A 17,462-nucleotide genomic window follows, 5' to 3' on the forward strand; every position below is an offset into this window, starting at 1 on the left:
CCTAGCTCGACCGTCTCCTCGATCCTCAGCCGTCCTCTAGGTCGGCCATCCGCTAGCCTGTCTGTCCCCCAGGCTTGGCTTTGGCTTTAGTATTCCGTATGTGACGTCTAGCAAACGGCTTTGCCTCTGTGGGTGCCCCTAGAGCGTGAGGCCTTAGAGGCCGCCCTCTGGCTCTAGGGTTCCATGACTGGTGTCCATGGCTTGTTCCTGGGGTCCTGTTCCTGTTTCTCCCTTGCTCCTTGTATCTGCTGGGCCCTGGGGAGGCTCACCAAGTACCAGCCTTGGCACAGCCAACCCAGGCAGTAGGTGCTTCATGGATGGAGAAGCAGTGGGCATACTACCCACCACAGCAACGTGAGGGAGGTGGGTGGCCAAGCTGACACAATAGGTTGAATGTCCACACTGTCACCACTGAGGCAGTGAGCTTGGGACCACATTCTCCATTCTTTGCTGACCCCCTAAAGCAGCACCCATCACCAGTATTGGGATGTGTTTAGGGACCCACATAGAAACCCAGGGGAATTCTCAGCTCAGCCCCAGTGCAACTGGGAAAGCTCGACTGGAAGCCTTGATGAAGGCACACTCTCCCTGTCCCTGAGAAGGCGCAGATCCCAACCCTAACTCAGTTGCTGGCCTGGCTGGGGCACCAGGAAGCCTGGCTCTGTAGAGGGTGGAGCAGGAGGAGAGGCCTGGCTCTCTAGAGTCTTCTAGGAGAGGGGCCAAAGAGCCGGAAAGGCCAAGGGAGACGAATGCACCAAGGAGGGGATGCGAAATAAAGCGTCTGGTTTGCTGAGTTATTTAAAGAGGAACTGGATCAGGCTGCAGGAGCCATCTTCACCAAATGGGCACGTGACGGGCTCAGGCGCACCAAGGCCCGCCCTGACTGGGCTATTGGACGGCAGGAGAGGGCAGACTCAAGTCCAAGCCCTAGAAGCCTTGCAATGAAGGCATGCTACATTCTCGGGAAGCTTTTGACGCAAAAGGGAGGCAGGAAGCAGGAGACAGCCGGGTTGCCCCCAGCCAGGAGGAGGAGCACAGGCCCCAGGGCTGGACAGTGGAGGTGGGGTGACATGATACTCCGCAGAGCTCCGCCCACCCTGTATGCTGACAGGTGCCTGTTAGAGTGTGCTCTGATTCCTCTCCCTCCACCTTCACTGGATCCACCCAAAGTCCTGGGCTCTGGAAAGTGAGGGGCTGAGTCAGACCTAGCAGCCCTGCAGGTCAGTTCCTGGACCAGTCCTTTAAGACGACAAACCCTCCCTAACTATCAAACCCACCAAACGGGCAGGACCAGGCACAATGCTCTGTGCCTAAGGTCCCAGCTCCGCCAGCAGCCCTGGACTGCGCAGTGTTCTCCAGGCCCTGGGGCTGGTGGGCTGCTCCCCGCGGGATCACCTATGAAGAAAGACAATGCCAGGCTGCCTCCTCCAGAGAAGGGGAGTGTGACACAGGAATGGCTCCAGTCTTTTCTTCTTCACAAGAAATCAGAAGCCCTTGCTGTGGATGCCAACGGCCCTAGCTCCCATGTAGAAAGCCCAGCGTGACCGCCTCAGTGCATAGGGCTGGGTCAGCAGTCAGCTGGCTATGCGCCACTAGCTGTCCATCCCTGGCTTGCGGTTTGCTCTCCCTCTCCTCTACCCCACCAAAGCCCAACAATGAACAGACAGGGCCCCAGGCCCTGTGAAGCCCCCTGCCTGACTACCCACCTCTCGCCGGGACTTCTGTGAGGACTTCTCAAGGACATCGTCGCTGGAGAGGTCTGAGTCCTCGGAGAAGCTCAGCTGGCGCCGGAGCTGCAGCTCTGTGGAGAGAGGGAGGCCACGTGAGGACAGCGCCAGACAGCAGGCGCAGCCCTCTCCTGCTCCTATGCTCCCATGTGCAGCCAAGGAGGCCGGGTGGGGGGCTGGATTCATTTTAGTTTAAGGGATCCATCCCCCATCCTGGGGAGCCAGGAGCTGGGACACCAACCTTTGCCTGGGCAGGGCAGAGCTGACGCCAAGCGGGTGGCACCTAGGCCTGCCCAGCCCCTCCTGGTAGCACTGCCCTCTGCCCTGTGCACGAGTGGGCCCCTCTGGGGTCGTCTGACTTTAGGAAGGGCACAAACCTCCACAGTCTTCCTGGTCCGGTTTCAAGCTGGCTTTGAGAATTCTGTTACTAAGCTGGCTATGCCCTGTGAACCCATGGTTCAGTCCCTTCTCCAGGTCAGCACGGCTCCTGAGAACCCTCGGCGGGGAGCGTGTGAGTGTGGATCCTGAGAGCCCCAGTGACCCCAGCCCCTCCCGCACCCCTCCCGCTCTGCCTGCACGCGGACCCGGCTGCTGACGCACCTGCCCTTACGACGGGAAGCACCCTGTGCTTTCCAGAGTCCACCGTGGCCCCGCTGGAGGGGGTGCTGGGGCAGGACTTGTCGTCGGCCTTCTTCTTCTTGTCCTTCTTGTACCCGGAGAAGACGGACTTCCACAGGGACTTGGGTTTGGCGGCGGCTTCTTCTAGGAGGTTGGAGCTGGGCTTCTCCGGGGGCCGGCCCTCGCCTTTGGACTTCTTCTCCTTCTTGTTTCTGCGGGGGGAGAAGAGTGACGACCTCTTCTTGCTCTTCCCACTGGAGCCCTCGGATGAAGTGAAAGAGCCATCTGGGCCCCCTGAGTCCGACGGCGGGGAGAGGACCTCCTCGCTGGTGGCTTCATGCTTCAGGGTGGGCTCCTCGGAGCCCCTGAGAGTGGGGCGTGTGGGGGAGTCAGGCCGGCGCTCCTTGCCCTGGGAGGGTGCTGAGGACGCCTTGCGGGGCCTGGGGGCGCCTGAGGCCAGCTCCATCTGCTGCATCCTGCTCAGCTGCCTGGCCATGGCGTCCCGCAGCGCCTGGCTCTTCACGGACTTCTCCCTGGCTCGCATGCGCTCCTCGGCCAACTCCTTGGCTTCCGCGGACACCAAGGGCAGCCCCCTCTTCTGTGGCTGCAGCGTCCCCTCCAGAGCAGGCAGCCTCCCGTTCTCCTTGGCCAGGGGCGGGTGGCGAGGCTTCTCGGGGCGCGGCCAGCAGGACGGGGGCGTGAAGAATTTCTCCTGCAGGCTTGAGTCCTCAGTCTTGTCGTCATAGGTGTCCTCCACATCATCAGCAAAGGGAATCTCCTCCACGCTCTCCACAAACGACTTCCGCACCTCCTCTCTGGGGGGCTGAGCAGGCTCCCGGGGGGGCCGCATCCAGGTGGCGGGCAAGGGCGGCGGGACCACCGAGGCATTGGGCTCGGCCTCCCTGAGCTTCCTCCGCAAGGTGGCGGGCTCCTCGCCCGGGGGTGGCGGTGGGGGCGGGCTGGAGGGGGGCGTGAGCATGGCGGAGTCCGAGGTGTTGAAGCTCTGGCTGCCCAGTGTCTTCATGTTGGAGGAGCTCCCGTGCAGGCCCAGGCCAGAGCTGCTGGACAGCTCCCTGCGCTCCTCCTGGGCGCTGCGTAGCTCTCTGTCGGACGGGGACCGGGGGGTTGGCAGGGACAACGGCTCGCCTTCCGGCTTTGGCAGGCCCAGCCTTTTGGGGATGGACAGAGGCTTGAGAAGGTGGAGTCCCTCATCCTGGGGGGACTTTTCAACGGAATAGGATTTGAGGGACACTGGCCTGAAGGCAGGCGTGGGGAAGCTGGGCTCGGGCCCCTTGCTGCGGTCCACAGGTGTGAGCCCGAGGCTGCGGCGGATCTCCGCACTCTTCATCCAGAACTCCTCCACCAGGTCGCTCCGTCTGAGGGCCTCATCCACAGCAAGGGGGCTGCCCAGTCTGTCCTTGGTGTCACTTTGGCTTTGGACAGGGAGAGGGGCCAGTGGGGTGGATGTTTTGGCCGGGGCAGGCTGGAAGCGTATGGGGGACTGGGTAGGGGATGGGACAGTGGCCTCGGTGGAAGGCTGGGGCTGGGAGCAGATGGGGAGTGGGCTGGGTGGGGGCGTGGAGGCCGCCACGGGTGGCTGGGGCTGCGGGCTCCCTGGTGAGACAGGAGTCCTAGCTTCTGGCAGGGTCACTGGCTGTGATCGGATGGGAGAGTGCACAGCTTTCAGATCCGAGGGGGCATCAGCTTTGGGCTTCTCTTTGGGGAGCAAAGGCTCAGGGAAAAGGCGCTCCTCAGGTGATTTCTCCTGGGTGGCGGCAGGGACAGGTGGGAGTTGGGGCCCCTACAGGGAAGGAAGACAGAAGCCGCTGAGAAGGTGTGGGCTTTCACGACCAGCAGCATCCTCGGGGAGCCTTCTCACTCAAAGTGCCTGCACCTGTGCCTGCTGCAGGACTTCCCCGTCCTTCCAGCTGTTATTAGAACAGCTCCAGGAAAACCCTTTCCACTTTCTGCTCCAGGTGTTCAGTGTTTAGAACCTTAGAACCACTCTGCTTAGTTTAGACAAACTGGGTTTTCAGGATTTGGTTCATCTCAAATACATCCTATATTCTTTGTCCACTCACAGGAACACTGGCCAAAAGGACATAGAGGAATGCAGTTCTCACCCTCCAGGAGGCCCCAGAGCGCCAAGATCCCTGACGTACGTACAGAGGGGCCAGGACTGTAAGAAGACTTACCACAGCTATTTATCACGGTGCATTATGATCAAATTGTCCTCCCTAGGAAGCTCAAAGATGTGCAGAGATTCCTGCACCAGCCCTTATATCACCCCATCCAAGAGCCTCAAACAAAGCCTCCCCATTTCACAGACGGCTGAGCGCAGTGGCTCACACCTGTAATCCCAGCACTTTGGGAGGACGAAGTGGGCAGATCACGAGGTCAGGAGATCGAGACCATCCTGGCTAACATGGTGAAATCCCGTCTCTACTAAAAATACAAAAACAAAATTAGGCAGGTGTGGTGGTGGGTGCCTACAGTCCCAGCTACTCGGGAGGCTGAGGCAGAAGAATGGCGTGAACCCGGGAGGTGGAGCTTGCAGTGAGCCAAGATCGCGCCACTGCATCCTAGCCTGGGTGACAGTGAGAGACTCCATCTCAAAAAAAAAAAAAAAAAAAAAAAAAAAATCCAATCAGTGAACAGGCTAGGTACAGTGGCTCATGCTGTAATCCCAGCACTTTGGGAGGCTGAGGCAGGAGGATTGCTTGAGCCGAGGAGTTGGGAGGCTGCAGTGAGCCATGATCATGCCACTGCACTATTGCCCATGCCAGTCTGGGCAAGAGACTGAGACCCTGTCTCAAAAAAAAAAAAAAAAATCACTGAATAGTTCCATGCTTCCTAGAATCCCAAAGACTAAATCAAGCAGATGCAGGCCTTATATTCCAGCTTTCTCCCTGATCTGACCTGCAGACAGTATTTCCCAAACCATGTTCCACAGGACCTGCTGTCACAGTTGGCTTTGCAGCATTCTCCATGTGGTTCACACACCACAGGCTGTCTGCATGGACGCTGTAAATTTCTTTTTTTTTGAGACGGAGTCTCGCTCTGTCGCCCAGGCTGGAGTGCAGTGGTGCCATCTCGGCTCACTGCAAGCTCCGCCTTCCGGGTTCATGCCATTCTCCTGCCTCAGCCTCCTGAGTAGCTGGGACTACAGGCGCCCGCCACCACGCCCGGCTAATTTTTTGTATTGTTAGTAGAGACAGGCTATCACTGTGTTAACCAGGATGGTCTCGATCTCCTGACCTCGTGATCTGCCTGCCTTGGCCTCCCAAAGTGCTGGGATTACAGGCGTGAGCCACCGCGCCTGGCCAGATGTTGTAAATTTCAATGGTTATACATTTATTTTAACATAATGTTAAAAATGCATTTGTCATATCAAACCAACCATCCCATCGATATTATTGCTTTAATTTAAACAAATTTATTTTTAATAAAATATCAAATGTTTTATACCATTTATCATAAAAATTATATTATTTTTAATATATTATAAATTTATAAAAAATAAATTTGTTCTAATAAATTTTAATAAATTTATATTTATAAACATAAATTTTAATAAATTTATATTTATAAACATAAATTTTAATAAATTTATGTTTATAAACATAAATTTTAATAAATTTATATTTATAAACATAAATTTTAATAAATTTATATTTATAAACAATTTTAATACACCTATGTTTATTATACATTTATTAAATATAATAAATTATTTATTTTTAATAAATTTGTTTAAATTAAACATATGGTGTGTGGTATGTGGACCTAACACAGTGACACGGGGTAGAGGACTCAGGTTTGGGATCAGAGTGGGGCAGAGGTAGTAGGTGCCACCCAGACGGCCTCATCCCCAAGAGTACTGAGCTGGAACTCCAAGGCCACTCCTGTCATCAACAGCTCCACTTAGTACAAGGAGGATGATAGTTTTCAGTCTTCCTCAGAATGAGGAGGCCAGCAGGCTATGTTAGCCCCAGTCTTGGTGGGACCCACACCATGGGCCCTGAAACAGAGAAGTTAATATGTGTCCTTGGGGTCCCATTAGTTCTCTGTACCCCACAGCGAGCCCCAAACCCTTACCTCTGTTGAGGGGCTGTGGACTGGAATGAACAGAAGAGCTGATTCCTGGGGAGACCGGATGGGGCTGGTGGCTTGGGAGGGACCTGAAAAGAATGAACACAGGGACTTACAAGAGGAAGCCCCCCCATGTGCCAGGAAGGCACCCCTATCAGCCAGCCCCAGAGGGTGGAGGGGAGGGTAGAGGGCGAGTCGCTGAGTCGGCTCCCAGTTCTCCTGGAAAGCACAGGTTCTCTCAGAGGCCAGGGTCCTGGAACCGTCTTCCCGGGGCTGCCCGGCACTCTCTGCAGGTGCTCCTGTCAACACCAGGTCAGGCCGTGGGCTTCCTCCATGTGCAGACTCTGCACACAGAGCTTCAGGACAAACCTTCTACCTTCTCCCAGACCCAAACTATGCAAGGAAAGGGCCTTTGGCCAAAGCAACTGCAGCAGCCTGTGGCACAGGGAGGGTGGACAGAGGAGGAAAAGGCAAGGAGCTGCCCACACCTCGGAGGCTGGTGTGCACCATGGCTCTGCTCTGAAGCGCCTGGCCCCTGAGCCACTCTTGTGTGCATATGGCCCTCGTAGGAATTCTGAAAGTTGTTTCTCCCATCAAAGACAGGCTCACCTCTCTCTTGGTGCTTCGGTGAGGCGGGCAGCTTCTCCTCATCTTCCGACACCCTCAGCTCCAGCTCTGCTTCCCCCTCAGCTGGGCACGGCAAACGCAGCTCTCTGTCAGCATCCGACGGGCTGTCAGACCAGTGCTGATCTGGCAGAGGGAAGGGGCAGAAGTGGGTGCACACCCTAAGTGAGGCCAACTCCTTTTCCACCTGAGAGCAGCCGCGCCACTTGCTCATTTGCAACACAGCTGCTCAGGTGCAGGCCTGGAGGCCCTTCTTACGCAGGGACAGACCTGCCTACCAGACCACCCCCGCTCCTGAGGGGCCCGGCCAAGAGCACCCTCCTGCCTTTGCAACGCGGGGCCGCATCAAAGCCTGTGGGGCTCTGTTTCTTTTAAAATACAGCAACAGTCACACATGATGGGCTGCGACAGACAAAGACAGGGTGTGCCTGTGGAGGGCAGGCCTGGCCTCACGGGCCCACTTCTATGCACCTCCTCCTCTCAGTAGCCCTGACTGCCACCCCAACTCCACAGCTGAGGCCTGCGCCCCCTCGCAAGCTTGGGTTCTTCTCATTCTTCCCAGCCTCGTCCCTGACCCCCTCAGCCCCCCACAACCAGACTGCGATGCAGAACCCATCTCCAGGTATGTAGCTTTGGGAGCCAGTCAGCAGAATTAAAGGCCTTGTATAAAGCCACAGGTTGGCTCAGGCACCCAGCTGCAGCTGGATGACTGCAGGCCAAGTCGCCTGGTGCTCGTGGGTAGGTGGTGGTTGGGTGGAATGAGATGCATTCCAGCCATGGTGGAGCCAAGAAGGAACCAGGAGGCCCAACGGCGGCCTCACTGAGCTTGATTTTGCTGGAAAGCATATTGCCTTCATCTTCCCTGAGCTCCCACCACAGGGGCGGGGAGGGCGGACCCCTACCATCATCCAGCTCAGCACCAGTGTCCCCTGGGTCCCCATCCTCTGCTGCCTCCCCTTCTATCTCGGCTGGTTCTGAGTCCACATCTTCCTCTAGGTCATTCTCATCCAATGGGGCTGCAAAGCAGAAAGGTTCAAAGGAAGGAAGAAAAGGAGGACAGACAGACAGGCTGCATCTTCACGGGGGCGAGAGGTACTGCCTTTCTCAGGGCGCTGCCATGCAGGCCCCAGGAGAGGGGAGATGCTGCCAGGCCCAGGGGGCTCTCCACACGTAGCATGGGTGCTGGGGGGGGCCCGGGGCCCCCAAACACAGGAGGTGGGCATTTCTCAATGCTAGGGGCCAAGTGGGAAGAGAAGAGCGGCTGAAGGTGGGGGCATTGTTCCTCTTCCCCCAAAGGTTGCTGTAGGAACCTCAGTTGGAGGAGGGTGGAAAGGGAAATGCTGTTTCTCTGGGCCTTGGCCCAGCAGCATCTGCCAAAGCCTGGCTGTGTGCTGACCGCCTCACACACCATGGGTCATTCAGCCCTCATAATGCAGGCTGAGCATCCTGAATCTGAAAATCCAAGATCCAAAATGCTCCAAAATCTGAAATTTTCTGAGCACTGACAAGAGGCCAAGTGGAAAATTCCACAGCAGACCTCGTGGTGACAGTCACACCTAAAATTGTTTCATGCATAAAATTATTAAAAATATTATATAAAATTATCTTTAGGCTACGTGTACAAGGTATATATGACACATAAATACATTTCGTGTTTAGACTTGTGTCCCATCCCCAAGATCTCTCCTTATGTATATGCAGAGATTACAACATCCGAAAAAAATTCGAAATCCAAAACACTTCTGGTCTCAAACATTTCAGGTAAGAAACACTCAGCCTGCAACATAATTAGAGGGACCGTTTCTTTAGCGAGAAGTCTGAGGTCCAGCCAGCTGAGGGGGTTGTCCACAGCGCTGTGTGCAGGGGCACCAGATGAGCTTCCCTTGCAATAATTTAGAGAAATACTAATACTTTGGGAGAGCATTGGGGGCTGAAGGTACGTAAAGTTCATCCTCTGGACTCCAAGTGGCCCTTCAGGGCTGCAAAATGAGGCAAAACCCTCGACAACTTCCCCTCCCCAGGAGCCGGCCCCTAAGCACGCACACACCGTCCCCACCTCCCACACTCCGAACTTGCACCAGCAGGAAGAGGGCGGCACGCTCTGCTCTGAGGACACTGTGAGACCCGCACCACCTGAGACCCACAGGACCACTGGCCGGGGGCCTGCGGGCTCTCCTAGGGTTCAAGCCCAGCCACCCTCAAATTACCCCTAAGGGTTTTAATTTCAGGAGAAAGGAGTTATGCTCTGATGTCCATATACAAGAGTCCGCACGGATCAAAGCCCCAGGCTGGGGAGCAGGGAACTGATGGCGCCCGGTTAGGTGGATTTCTTAAAAAGCCATGTGGAAATGGGAGGGCGCAGCCTCGGAAGTAGCATCTTCTCTCCACAGGCCAGGCACTTAGAAGATGCTGGCAACGTTTTATCCCTTGAACAGGGTGGCAGTTATATGATTTTCTGTTTCTTTAATAATTCCTTAAGCTTATTTTTATCTTTTATGCACAGTTTGTAAGATGACGGTTCAAATCTAGTGTTTGAAGAACTGTATGAAACAGGTTTGGAAGGGAACAGACGGCCCACGTCACAGGGAGAGATAGGCGGGTTCCCAGACTAGCTGACAGTTAGGGCCATGTGCCTCCCTGAGATACCAGAGTGGCCCACGTTGCTGGCCGTGCCAAATGCTATCCTACAGCATCGGCACCTGCTGGGGGAAGCAGGGGGGAAATGCCTCAAGTATTTCTATTGGTTAAAACCTCGGTGTGAGAACACTGCTTTTGGCCACTCAAGGAAGACAGTTCATCAAACACCAGGGAGTGGGACTTCTGGAGCAAAGATAAAAGAATTCATGGCTGCACTACACCGATTCTGAAAAGGAGGAACAAACGCCCCGTTTGGAACAGAATCTGGCCCATCCCATGGAGAGGGCCACTGTGCCTGACAGATTTGTTGGGGTGAATCTGGGTGCCCAGGGATCAATATGGCAACTCTACACTCTTGCTGGCGAGGGAACTGGAGGCCAGCACCAAGGAGACCCAAACAGGCCTCCCAGCCAGGCACAGCCCAGGGCACCCTGGGTTAGCCTGATCCCGCCCTGGTGCCTGGGTCCTTCACGCGGCTCTCCTGTAGACTTTCTATTAAGAAATGCCTGTGGTAGAGTCAGGCGGGTGAGAAGTCTACACTCCTTGGCAGTACCTTGAAAGGAAAAATCGTCACAGATAAAAAAAAATAAACAGGTGAGAAATATCAACGCAGCAGCAGCAGTGTTGAAAGGGACACAGCTTGAGGGGTGGATCTGGGGGTGAAATTCAGGTTAAGACGGAGTGCAGGGTGCTAGAAGCTGCCACGCAGGTTGATGAGCCACGTGCTATGAAAGCCAGGAGCCACTGACCCGCTCAGCTCTTGGTTTCCTTCAGCCGCCAGCTGGGAGGCTCTTGCCCCACCGCCCTAGGGACCCAAGCTATCTAGAAGAGGAGCCAGCCGTCTCTGCGCAAAGAGCAGTGGCCCTTCCCTGCGGCTGTGTGTGCCTGTTTCTCCCACTGCCGGGAGGACACAGGGACAGGCTGCTGAAGCCCCACGAGCTCCCATGTCCGCATCCCAGAAGTGACCGCTAGGACAGTGGTGCTGTTGGCGATAACACTGCCCTTCCTCCAGCAGTGTCTGACAACTCGTGGAGGGATTTTTGGTGTCTTCATAGGTGGTGGAGGCTGCACGGACACTCCAAGGGCCGAGGCCAAGAATGTTAAACCTTCTGCAAGGGAAAGAGCTGTCCTGCCCCAAATGCCAGTAGCCCCTCGGTGAGAAACACACACTTCCAGAAACATGTAGGAAGGACAACTCAGGCTGCTCAACGATCTCTTGTACTTGAAGAGACGCCTGCAGCTCGGGCTGGATTTGACTGGTGTCACCCCTGGTCACACCCAGCCTGTCCCCACTTTCTGCTGAATAGCACCCGCCCATCCTCTGCTCTTCCCTCTCCACCATCATCCTCCCATAAACCCCCTGGTTTTGACAGCCTCCTTCTCTGATAGCTTGGTAGGCTTGTGGAATATCTTCTGATTCCTCCCCTTTCACACTCAATCGGTAACCACCTCATTCTCAACACATTTTAAAACTCTCAGTGCCAAAAACGTTCCTTTGGCTTTGGCCTTTTTATCCGACTCTTATCAATAAAAACCTGCCTGTGTCTGTCCTGCCTGCCCTCACGTTTCCCTCTGAGCTGCCCTGAAGGGGGGGTGTGCGTCTGATCCATGCAAGGGCGGGCTGTCTGGCAAGGCATGCAGGTACCCCCACCCGCCTCTGCCGCCCTGGCATGCACTTGCAACAGGCCCAGGAGTCTAGTGTTAAGGTACCAGCAGAGCCGCCTAGAGAGAGGTTACGGTGAGTGGGGAGAGAGTGAACATCACCAGACTACCTCCGGAGACCGTCTCCAGCCAGGCCTGCACCGCCGCGTGGCGTATGGAGGGAAGGTCGGGCACTGAATTTAAAACAGACGACAAATACAAAGTTACACAGCAATATGCGTTCCCAACGAGGAGAGCCAAGGTCATCCTTAAAATCCCAAAGAGAAAGAAAGTGAGAAGGCATTCAGGACAGACGCCTGTCTGGCACCAACAAGGGGTGCGAGCCCTGATGTTAGCCTGTGTGATGGAGAATCAGGATGAGAAGAGAAGAGGGAAAACCCAAGGTAGGGCCACCGCCGGCCCAGGGCTGCAGAGCGCTCCCCAGCTCACAGGCCAGCCCAGTGATGCGGGTGCTCATGGTGCCACCACAAGCCGGAAACGGAGGTTGGTCTTGCCTACAAGTGAAGATTTGGGGCCAGGGAGGAACAAACGTCTTATTAATGCTGTTTTATGATGGCAGGAAATGCCCCTTTTGTATGCTCAGAGCCTGGCAGGGGGTGTGGCCCGTGACCGGCGCTGAATGAAAATGTGCACGCACAGAAGTGACAGCAGAGGTGACTCCGAGGGTGGGTATTTGGAAGACAGCATGCCAGGAAAGATGGCACAGCGGCCACCACGTCCCTCAGCAGTCTCCACGGTCCTTCTCTTATTGCTATTCCTTTATTTAAAAAAGCCAGAATAAGGTTCATCTTCATCCTACTGTGTGACACAGACCGTCACACCTAAAGCCTGGGGCTGGAGACGATGCTACTGTGGAGGCCTCCTGGACAGAAATCTCTTCCCAAGACTTCATTTCACTTCCAAACATGCCCCTCCCGCCCCCTTCCTGCCAACACACATTCACGTCCAGACACACTCTAAGAAAAGTACCAGAACGTTTTACGAAGTGAGGAAAGAGCAGCGGTGACCAGAAACATGAGAGAAAGACAGAAAATTCTTGGTTTACCCAAGATCAGGTTCATTTTACCATTTTGCATCAATGGAGAAAGAGTCCACAACCTCTTAATCCACAGAGAACTTCACATATCCTCAGATGAAAAGTACAGGTGTCACAACTGACAGCAGCAAAGCGGGATGCGCCTGGCTCCCGTGTGTGACCTCATGGGTGGCTCTGCCCTGACAGAAAGGCCCCCTGTGGCGACAGAGGCAGCAGGCGGGTGGTGCTCGGGGCACACTGCGGCCTGGGGCTGGGAGTGTTTACCTCCGGAAGCAGAGGACTCAGAGGCCGGCGCCATCCTCTCTTCCTCCTCTCTCTCACGGATATGAGTCCAGTGCACGTCAGCCTGGATCTCCAGAGGATCCGCCGCGTGCATGACCTGCTGGAGCCTCTGGTTCCCGGCTAGTGTCCCAGGGTCAAGGGGTGGAGAAATGAGGTGGGGAAGGAGGGGATGAAATAGCATGGGAAAGGAAACAGAAAGAGAAGTTACAGCATTGGCCAGGGTCAGTATGAATCAGAAAGAAGTAAAAATTAAGAACATGTATGCACATGTATACACACACACACACACACAGACGCATGGACACACAGACACACACGCACAGTCCTTCTGCTCATTCAGTGTGACCTGGTCATTTCCAGCCGTATATGTACCATTCAATTCAGTGAAGAGAATCACACATTCCTTTCTGAGGCTCCTTTCATCCTGAGCTGCATTCAGGGGGCCCATGCACCAAGATGGAAAAAGAGCAGATTCCAGCCTGCTTCTGCAGGCCCAGCCCCAAGGGGTCACAAGGACCTGCTTTGTCCCTAGCACAGTGTGAGACCCCAGGATGCACTATCCTGCCCCTCTGCTGGTCACACAGCAAGGTGCCCACCACCACTCGCCCAGCTGATGGCCAGGTGACGAGAGAGGTGGGAAGAGATTGTGTCATTCTGCCGCCAGCCGGCCAGCTCACACAGGACAGAGATAGACTTTGCTGGCACTTCGGTTTGCATCTTCTGCAGCTGGAGCTGCTGCTGGAGAGAAAAAGTCCCCGTCCCTTAGTGGGCCTCATGCTGCATGCTGGGTCTGAGGCAAGGACACGGATCCCAGTGGAGGGTAGAGTCAGGGGAGGTGATGGCTGGGAGGGAAGCAGAGCTCTTTCATGTACGTTTCCAAACCCTTGGAATTTCACAGGCGAGAATGAGACCAACAGCTCTCTGAGGTCAAAGCCCTCACCTGAGAACTCCATGTGGTGCCCTGCTTATCACCTCTGGAAACAAGGCCTGGTTTCTCAGCTACATGGAAACTCACCAGTGGCCCCTCTGGATCCCTGCCCTGTGGGATCCCTGTACTTAGTGCTTGGACCGTGCCACACAGTTGGGTTAAGATAAAGGGACAGCTAGCAACTGGGAAGGGAAGGTGGCTGTTCAGCAGGTGCCACCTGATCTGAAGGATTCGTGTTCCTGCCAGGAGCCAGCTTCCATCTGGGAATGGGTGACATGCCTCCTCTGAGTCTAACCAGACAATCTGGCCTTGGCTTCAGTCACTATGACAGCCTCTTCAAGCAACAGGGAATGTGAAATGGGCAGAAAGGACCAGCAAGACCACCCAGTGTGATGCTGGCCCTGTGCTCTGCCGTATGTGGGGTATCAGCCCATTGTTGGAGCTGCTAGTCTCTATAGATTTGTTGCTGGCCCTGCAAGCCGTATGTGGAGTATTAGCCCCTTGTTGGAGTTGCTGGTCTCTATAGATGTTGCTGGTCTCTATAGATTTGTGGACTTTTTCTGAGGTGAATTTGCCTTTTTTTTTTTTTTTTTTGAGACGAAGTGTCGCTCTTGTTGCCCAGGCTAGAGTGCAATGGCACGATCTCAGCTCACCGCAACCTCCGCCTCCCAGGTTCAAGCAATTCTCCTGCCTCAGCCTCCCAAGTAGCTGGGATTACAGGCATGTGCCACCATGCCCGACTAATTTTTTATATTTTTTAGTAGAGACAGGGTTTCTCCATGTTGGTCAGACTGGTCTCAAACTCCCGATCTCAGGTGATCCACACGCCTCGGCCTCCCAAAGTGCTGGGATTACAGGCATGAGCCACTGCACCCGGCCGTCAATTTGCCTTTCTTTATGGTGCTGGGTGGGACTAAGTCACAGCAGAGTCACCTAACAGCCTGGATGCACAGGACTGAGGAAGGTAAGTCAAAGAGTGCAGGGCCTTTCTCTACCTTCTCAGCAACAAAGAGAAGAGACACATTCTTCTCTCAGAGTCCTGCTGTGCTTCCTGCTAATACATGCAGCCTTGGGGACTTATCGACAGCACAAGCCAGCATTTCCTCCTTTCTCAGAGAAACATTAAAGGCACCTGCACTGGCGATAGGTTTCCTGCATCAGAGAAGGAGCCAAGTCTTGGCTGGAGATGAGCTTGCAGTAAAACATATGCGGCATAGATGGGGCCGCATTCCATGAGGCCACTTCTGGAGCCTTCTCCAACTTCCTCCAGAACCTCTTCTGACTCACATGTTACTTTGCGCCTGACTGTCTGGGCAGGCTGGGACCAGGGAGAGTAGCCCAGTGAGATGTGTGCAGAGCCCGTCAGCACAGTTCCATAAAACACAGACCTTTGTCTGTGAGACATGCTCTTGGAGGCAAATTTTGGATGGCTGCCAGGGAGCTGGGGTAGAAGGTGGGCACGGGGTAAAGTGGGTACCTTTAAATGTCCTCAAATCTTCTTCCTGTGGGAGGTACCTGGCGCCACTGGCCTTGCAGTTCTGTGTCCCAGGGGCAGTACTCCCCTTCTACAGCAGGGGGAGCCAGAGACCCACACAGCATCAGGAATCCCACAGCGCGATCAAGCAGGGAGGGAAGAGAAGGGAGTAGTGGTGTCCAGCCACTGCCTGCACAGGCACCGTCGGCTGCCCGACAGACACACCTGCGCTAGGGACACAGGCTCCGGTCTGGGACTCTCGGAGTTTGGCTGAATCTGTCAGTATGTGTTTGTGTAGTTAAAGCTCTTTTCCTACAGGTTTGGTCTTGACGTTAGCACTAAGTCCAGGAAATTAAGTCTGCGTGAAGGAAAGCTCGGCTCAACTCTCCTGAAAAGGGAACGTGCTTCGACCCGAAGCTGTGCCAGGGCTCAAAGCTGCCGAGTGATCATCATCAGATGGAGATGACGATGTCTGGAACAGTGCAAACAAAACACCGTGCCCTGGACCAGCTGTGCATGCTCACTCTGCTGGCTAGCAGAGGCCACGCCGGCACCTGGCTCCGCAGACACGGCAGCATGGAGGGAGAGCCCAGATTCACAGACCCCATTTCTCCTAAGGCAGACAGGGTGTGGAGTGCGGGTCACTAAGGGCTGCCTGTGGGTCCTGCCCAGCCTCTGCCTCAGAGGGAAGAGTAGAGAACTGGGAGAGCAGGTCCTTAGGGAGCCCGAGGAAGTCCCTGACGCCAGCTGTTCTCGCGGACGCCCAACGGTGCGGTTCCTTCTGCTAACCCACCTCACTGGGGCCAACATCCTGGAGCTGCACAGCTCCCAGGGGACTGGATCAGGAACATGAGCCCTGTCAGGCAAGGGCTCAGCCCTGTGTGCCAGAGAAAACAGACCCCCGGATGGGACTGGGCAGCAAGCACACAGGTGCCAGGAGAAGCAGAGATGAGCACAGTGCCAGCTCTGCAGGGCCTGGGGTCACTGAGAACTCAACCGATCCTCTGACCGCTGCAGGGAGTCACTGGTGCTCAGAAATTAAAGGTCATGTCCTTCCTGCTCACTCCACATCTATCTTTTGGGGACTCAGATCTCCACCTGCCCTGGCTCCGTCTTCACCACCCCCCAGACTTCTGCGCTGCTGGAGCAGAGAAAGAATGGCCTTCTCTCCTGCACAGGCCCAGCAAGTCCCTCCTCATCACTTGAGGCCACACACACCCAGAGATGGGGCAGAATTGAAAAATCTCAAGTCCAAGGCAAGAGACTATTTCAGAACCAGCCAGAGTGGCTGGCCCCTGGGCCTGAGTATCCCTTCAGGACACTGTCCCCAAAACGCTGCCCTGCGTGCCATCAACTGAGCCCCATCCAGTGGGCACTAAGCTCATAGCCACCTCCGAAACCCTAGACTAGGATCAGGGAATCCTCTAGAAAGCTAAATTCCCTTTCCTTATTAATTTTTTCAACTGAAACTACAGGGCAAAAAGAGAAAACGAGGTGGAGACAAGTAGGAGTGGCCTAACTTGGATGAGTACTTGGACTGGCTCTCTGCCTTCCACTTCCAGTTTCTAAACCAATGTGCACAAGGGACATTACTTCCACTGCCAACCGCCTGCTCAACGCTACGGTGTCCTCCCCTCTGCCCCCCATGTCTTATGTCAGGAGGGGTGGTCCCTGGGCTGTGCAGGAGGCACGTCCGTGTGACGTCAGCCCCAGAAACCTCTTACACTCACGCATGAAACAGATCACTTTGGGGGGCAGGGCAGAGTTCGGAGCAGAGATTTTGTTCTGACCTTCACTGGACTCTTCCTCCTCCTCGTCATAGTCCTCCTCCTCCTCCTCTTCATATTCTTCCTCCTCCTCCTCCTCCTCTTCATTCCCAGGCCCAAAGCTCTTTGAGGCCTCTAGCTCCTCTTCACTTTTCCCTTTCAGAAGGGCATGGATCCGCACGGCCTCCTTCCACGGAACACCACCCAGGTCAGATGGGGGCAGGCGAGGCTCCTCCTCCTCCTCCTCTCCCTCCTCCTCCATCTCAGACTCGGAACTACTGTGAGGAAATAACCACATAGCCAGAGTGAGGGAATGAAGAAAAACTGAGAAGGGGAAGGGGAAGGGCCACCATCAGAAACAATGCATGTCAGGCAAAGCAGCTGCTGAGCAGGCGGAGAGAGACAGGAGGGAGGAGAGAGCGGCATCAGCAGGACAGGGTACCTGGGCATGAGAAGCCACCTACCCAAGCCCGACTAAGGGGACAAAGGGAAGAATGCCTCCTGCTCACAGACCTCACGCACTTCTCCTCAGGTGGATGGGGTAGGGAGGGGACCACCGAAGGCTGCCTGTGGGTCTGGCCCAGCCTCTGCCTGTGGAGGGGAGTGTGCAGAACTG

The 17,462-nt window shown here is 55.2% G+C and overlaps 1 protein-coding gene across 1 annotated transcript in view, besides 1 other annotated feature; it reads right to left on the minus strand.

Moving 5' to 3' along the window:
* The window catches only part of MICAL3 (microtubule associated monooxygenase, calponin and LIM domain containing 3), a 236,913-nt gene that overhangs the window by 27,335 nt on the left and 192,116 nt on the right, over positions 1 to 17,462 (minus strand). Inside the window, exons 21-27 of the mRNA NM_015241.3 lie at positions 16,871 to 17,124; positions 12,661 to 12,798; positions 7,964 to 8,077; positions 7,047 to 7,187; positions 6,444 to 6,526; positions 2,328 to 4,146; positions 1,707 to 1,801 (exon numbers count right to left, since the gene is read on the minus strand). Coding sequence (NP_056056.2) covers positions 1,707 to 1,801; positions 2,328 to 4,146; positions 6,444 to 6,526; positions 7,047 to 7,187; positions 7,964 to 8,077; positions 12,661 to 12,798; positions 16,871 to 17,124 — 2,644 coding nt within the window. The remainder of the gene's footprint in view (positions 1 to 1,706; positions 1,802 to 2,327; positions 4,147 to 6,443; positions 6,527 to 7,046; positions 7,188 to 7,963; positions 8,078 to 12,660; positions 12,799 to 16,870; positions 17,125 to 17,462) is intronic.
* Positions 432 to 1,211: an enhancer, noted in NCBI's record as "H3K4me1 hESC enhancer chr22:18298181-18298960 (GRCh37/hg19 assembly coordinates)". NCBI's record gives its function as "activates a minimal SCP1, AML or CMV promoter by ChIP-STARR-seq in primed H9 embryonic stem cells {active_cell/tissue: H9 hESC(primed)}" and the evidence as "EXISTENCE:reporter gene assay evidence [ECO:0000049][PMID:30033119]".

This window comes from Homo sapiens, chromosome 22 (assembly GCF_000001405.40).
Source record: "Homo sapiens chromosome 22, GRCh38.p14 Primary Assembly".
Taxonomy (NCBI): domain Eukaryota; kingdom Metazoa; phylum Chordata; class Mammalia; order Primates; family Hominidae; genus Homo; species Homo sapiens.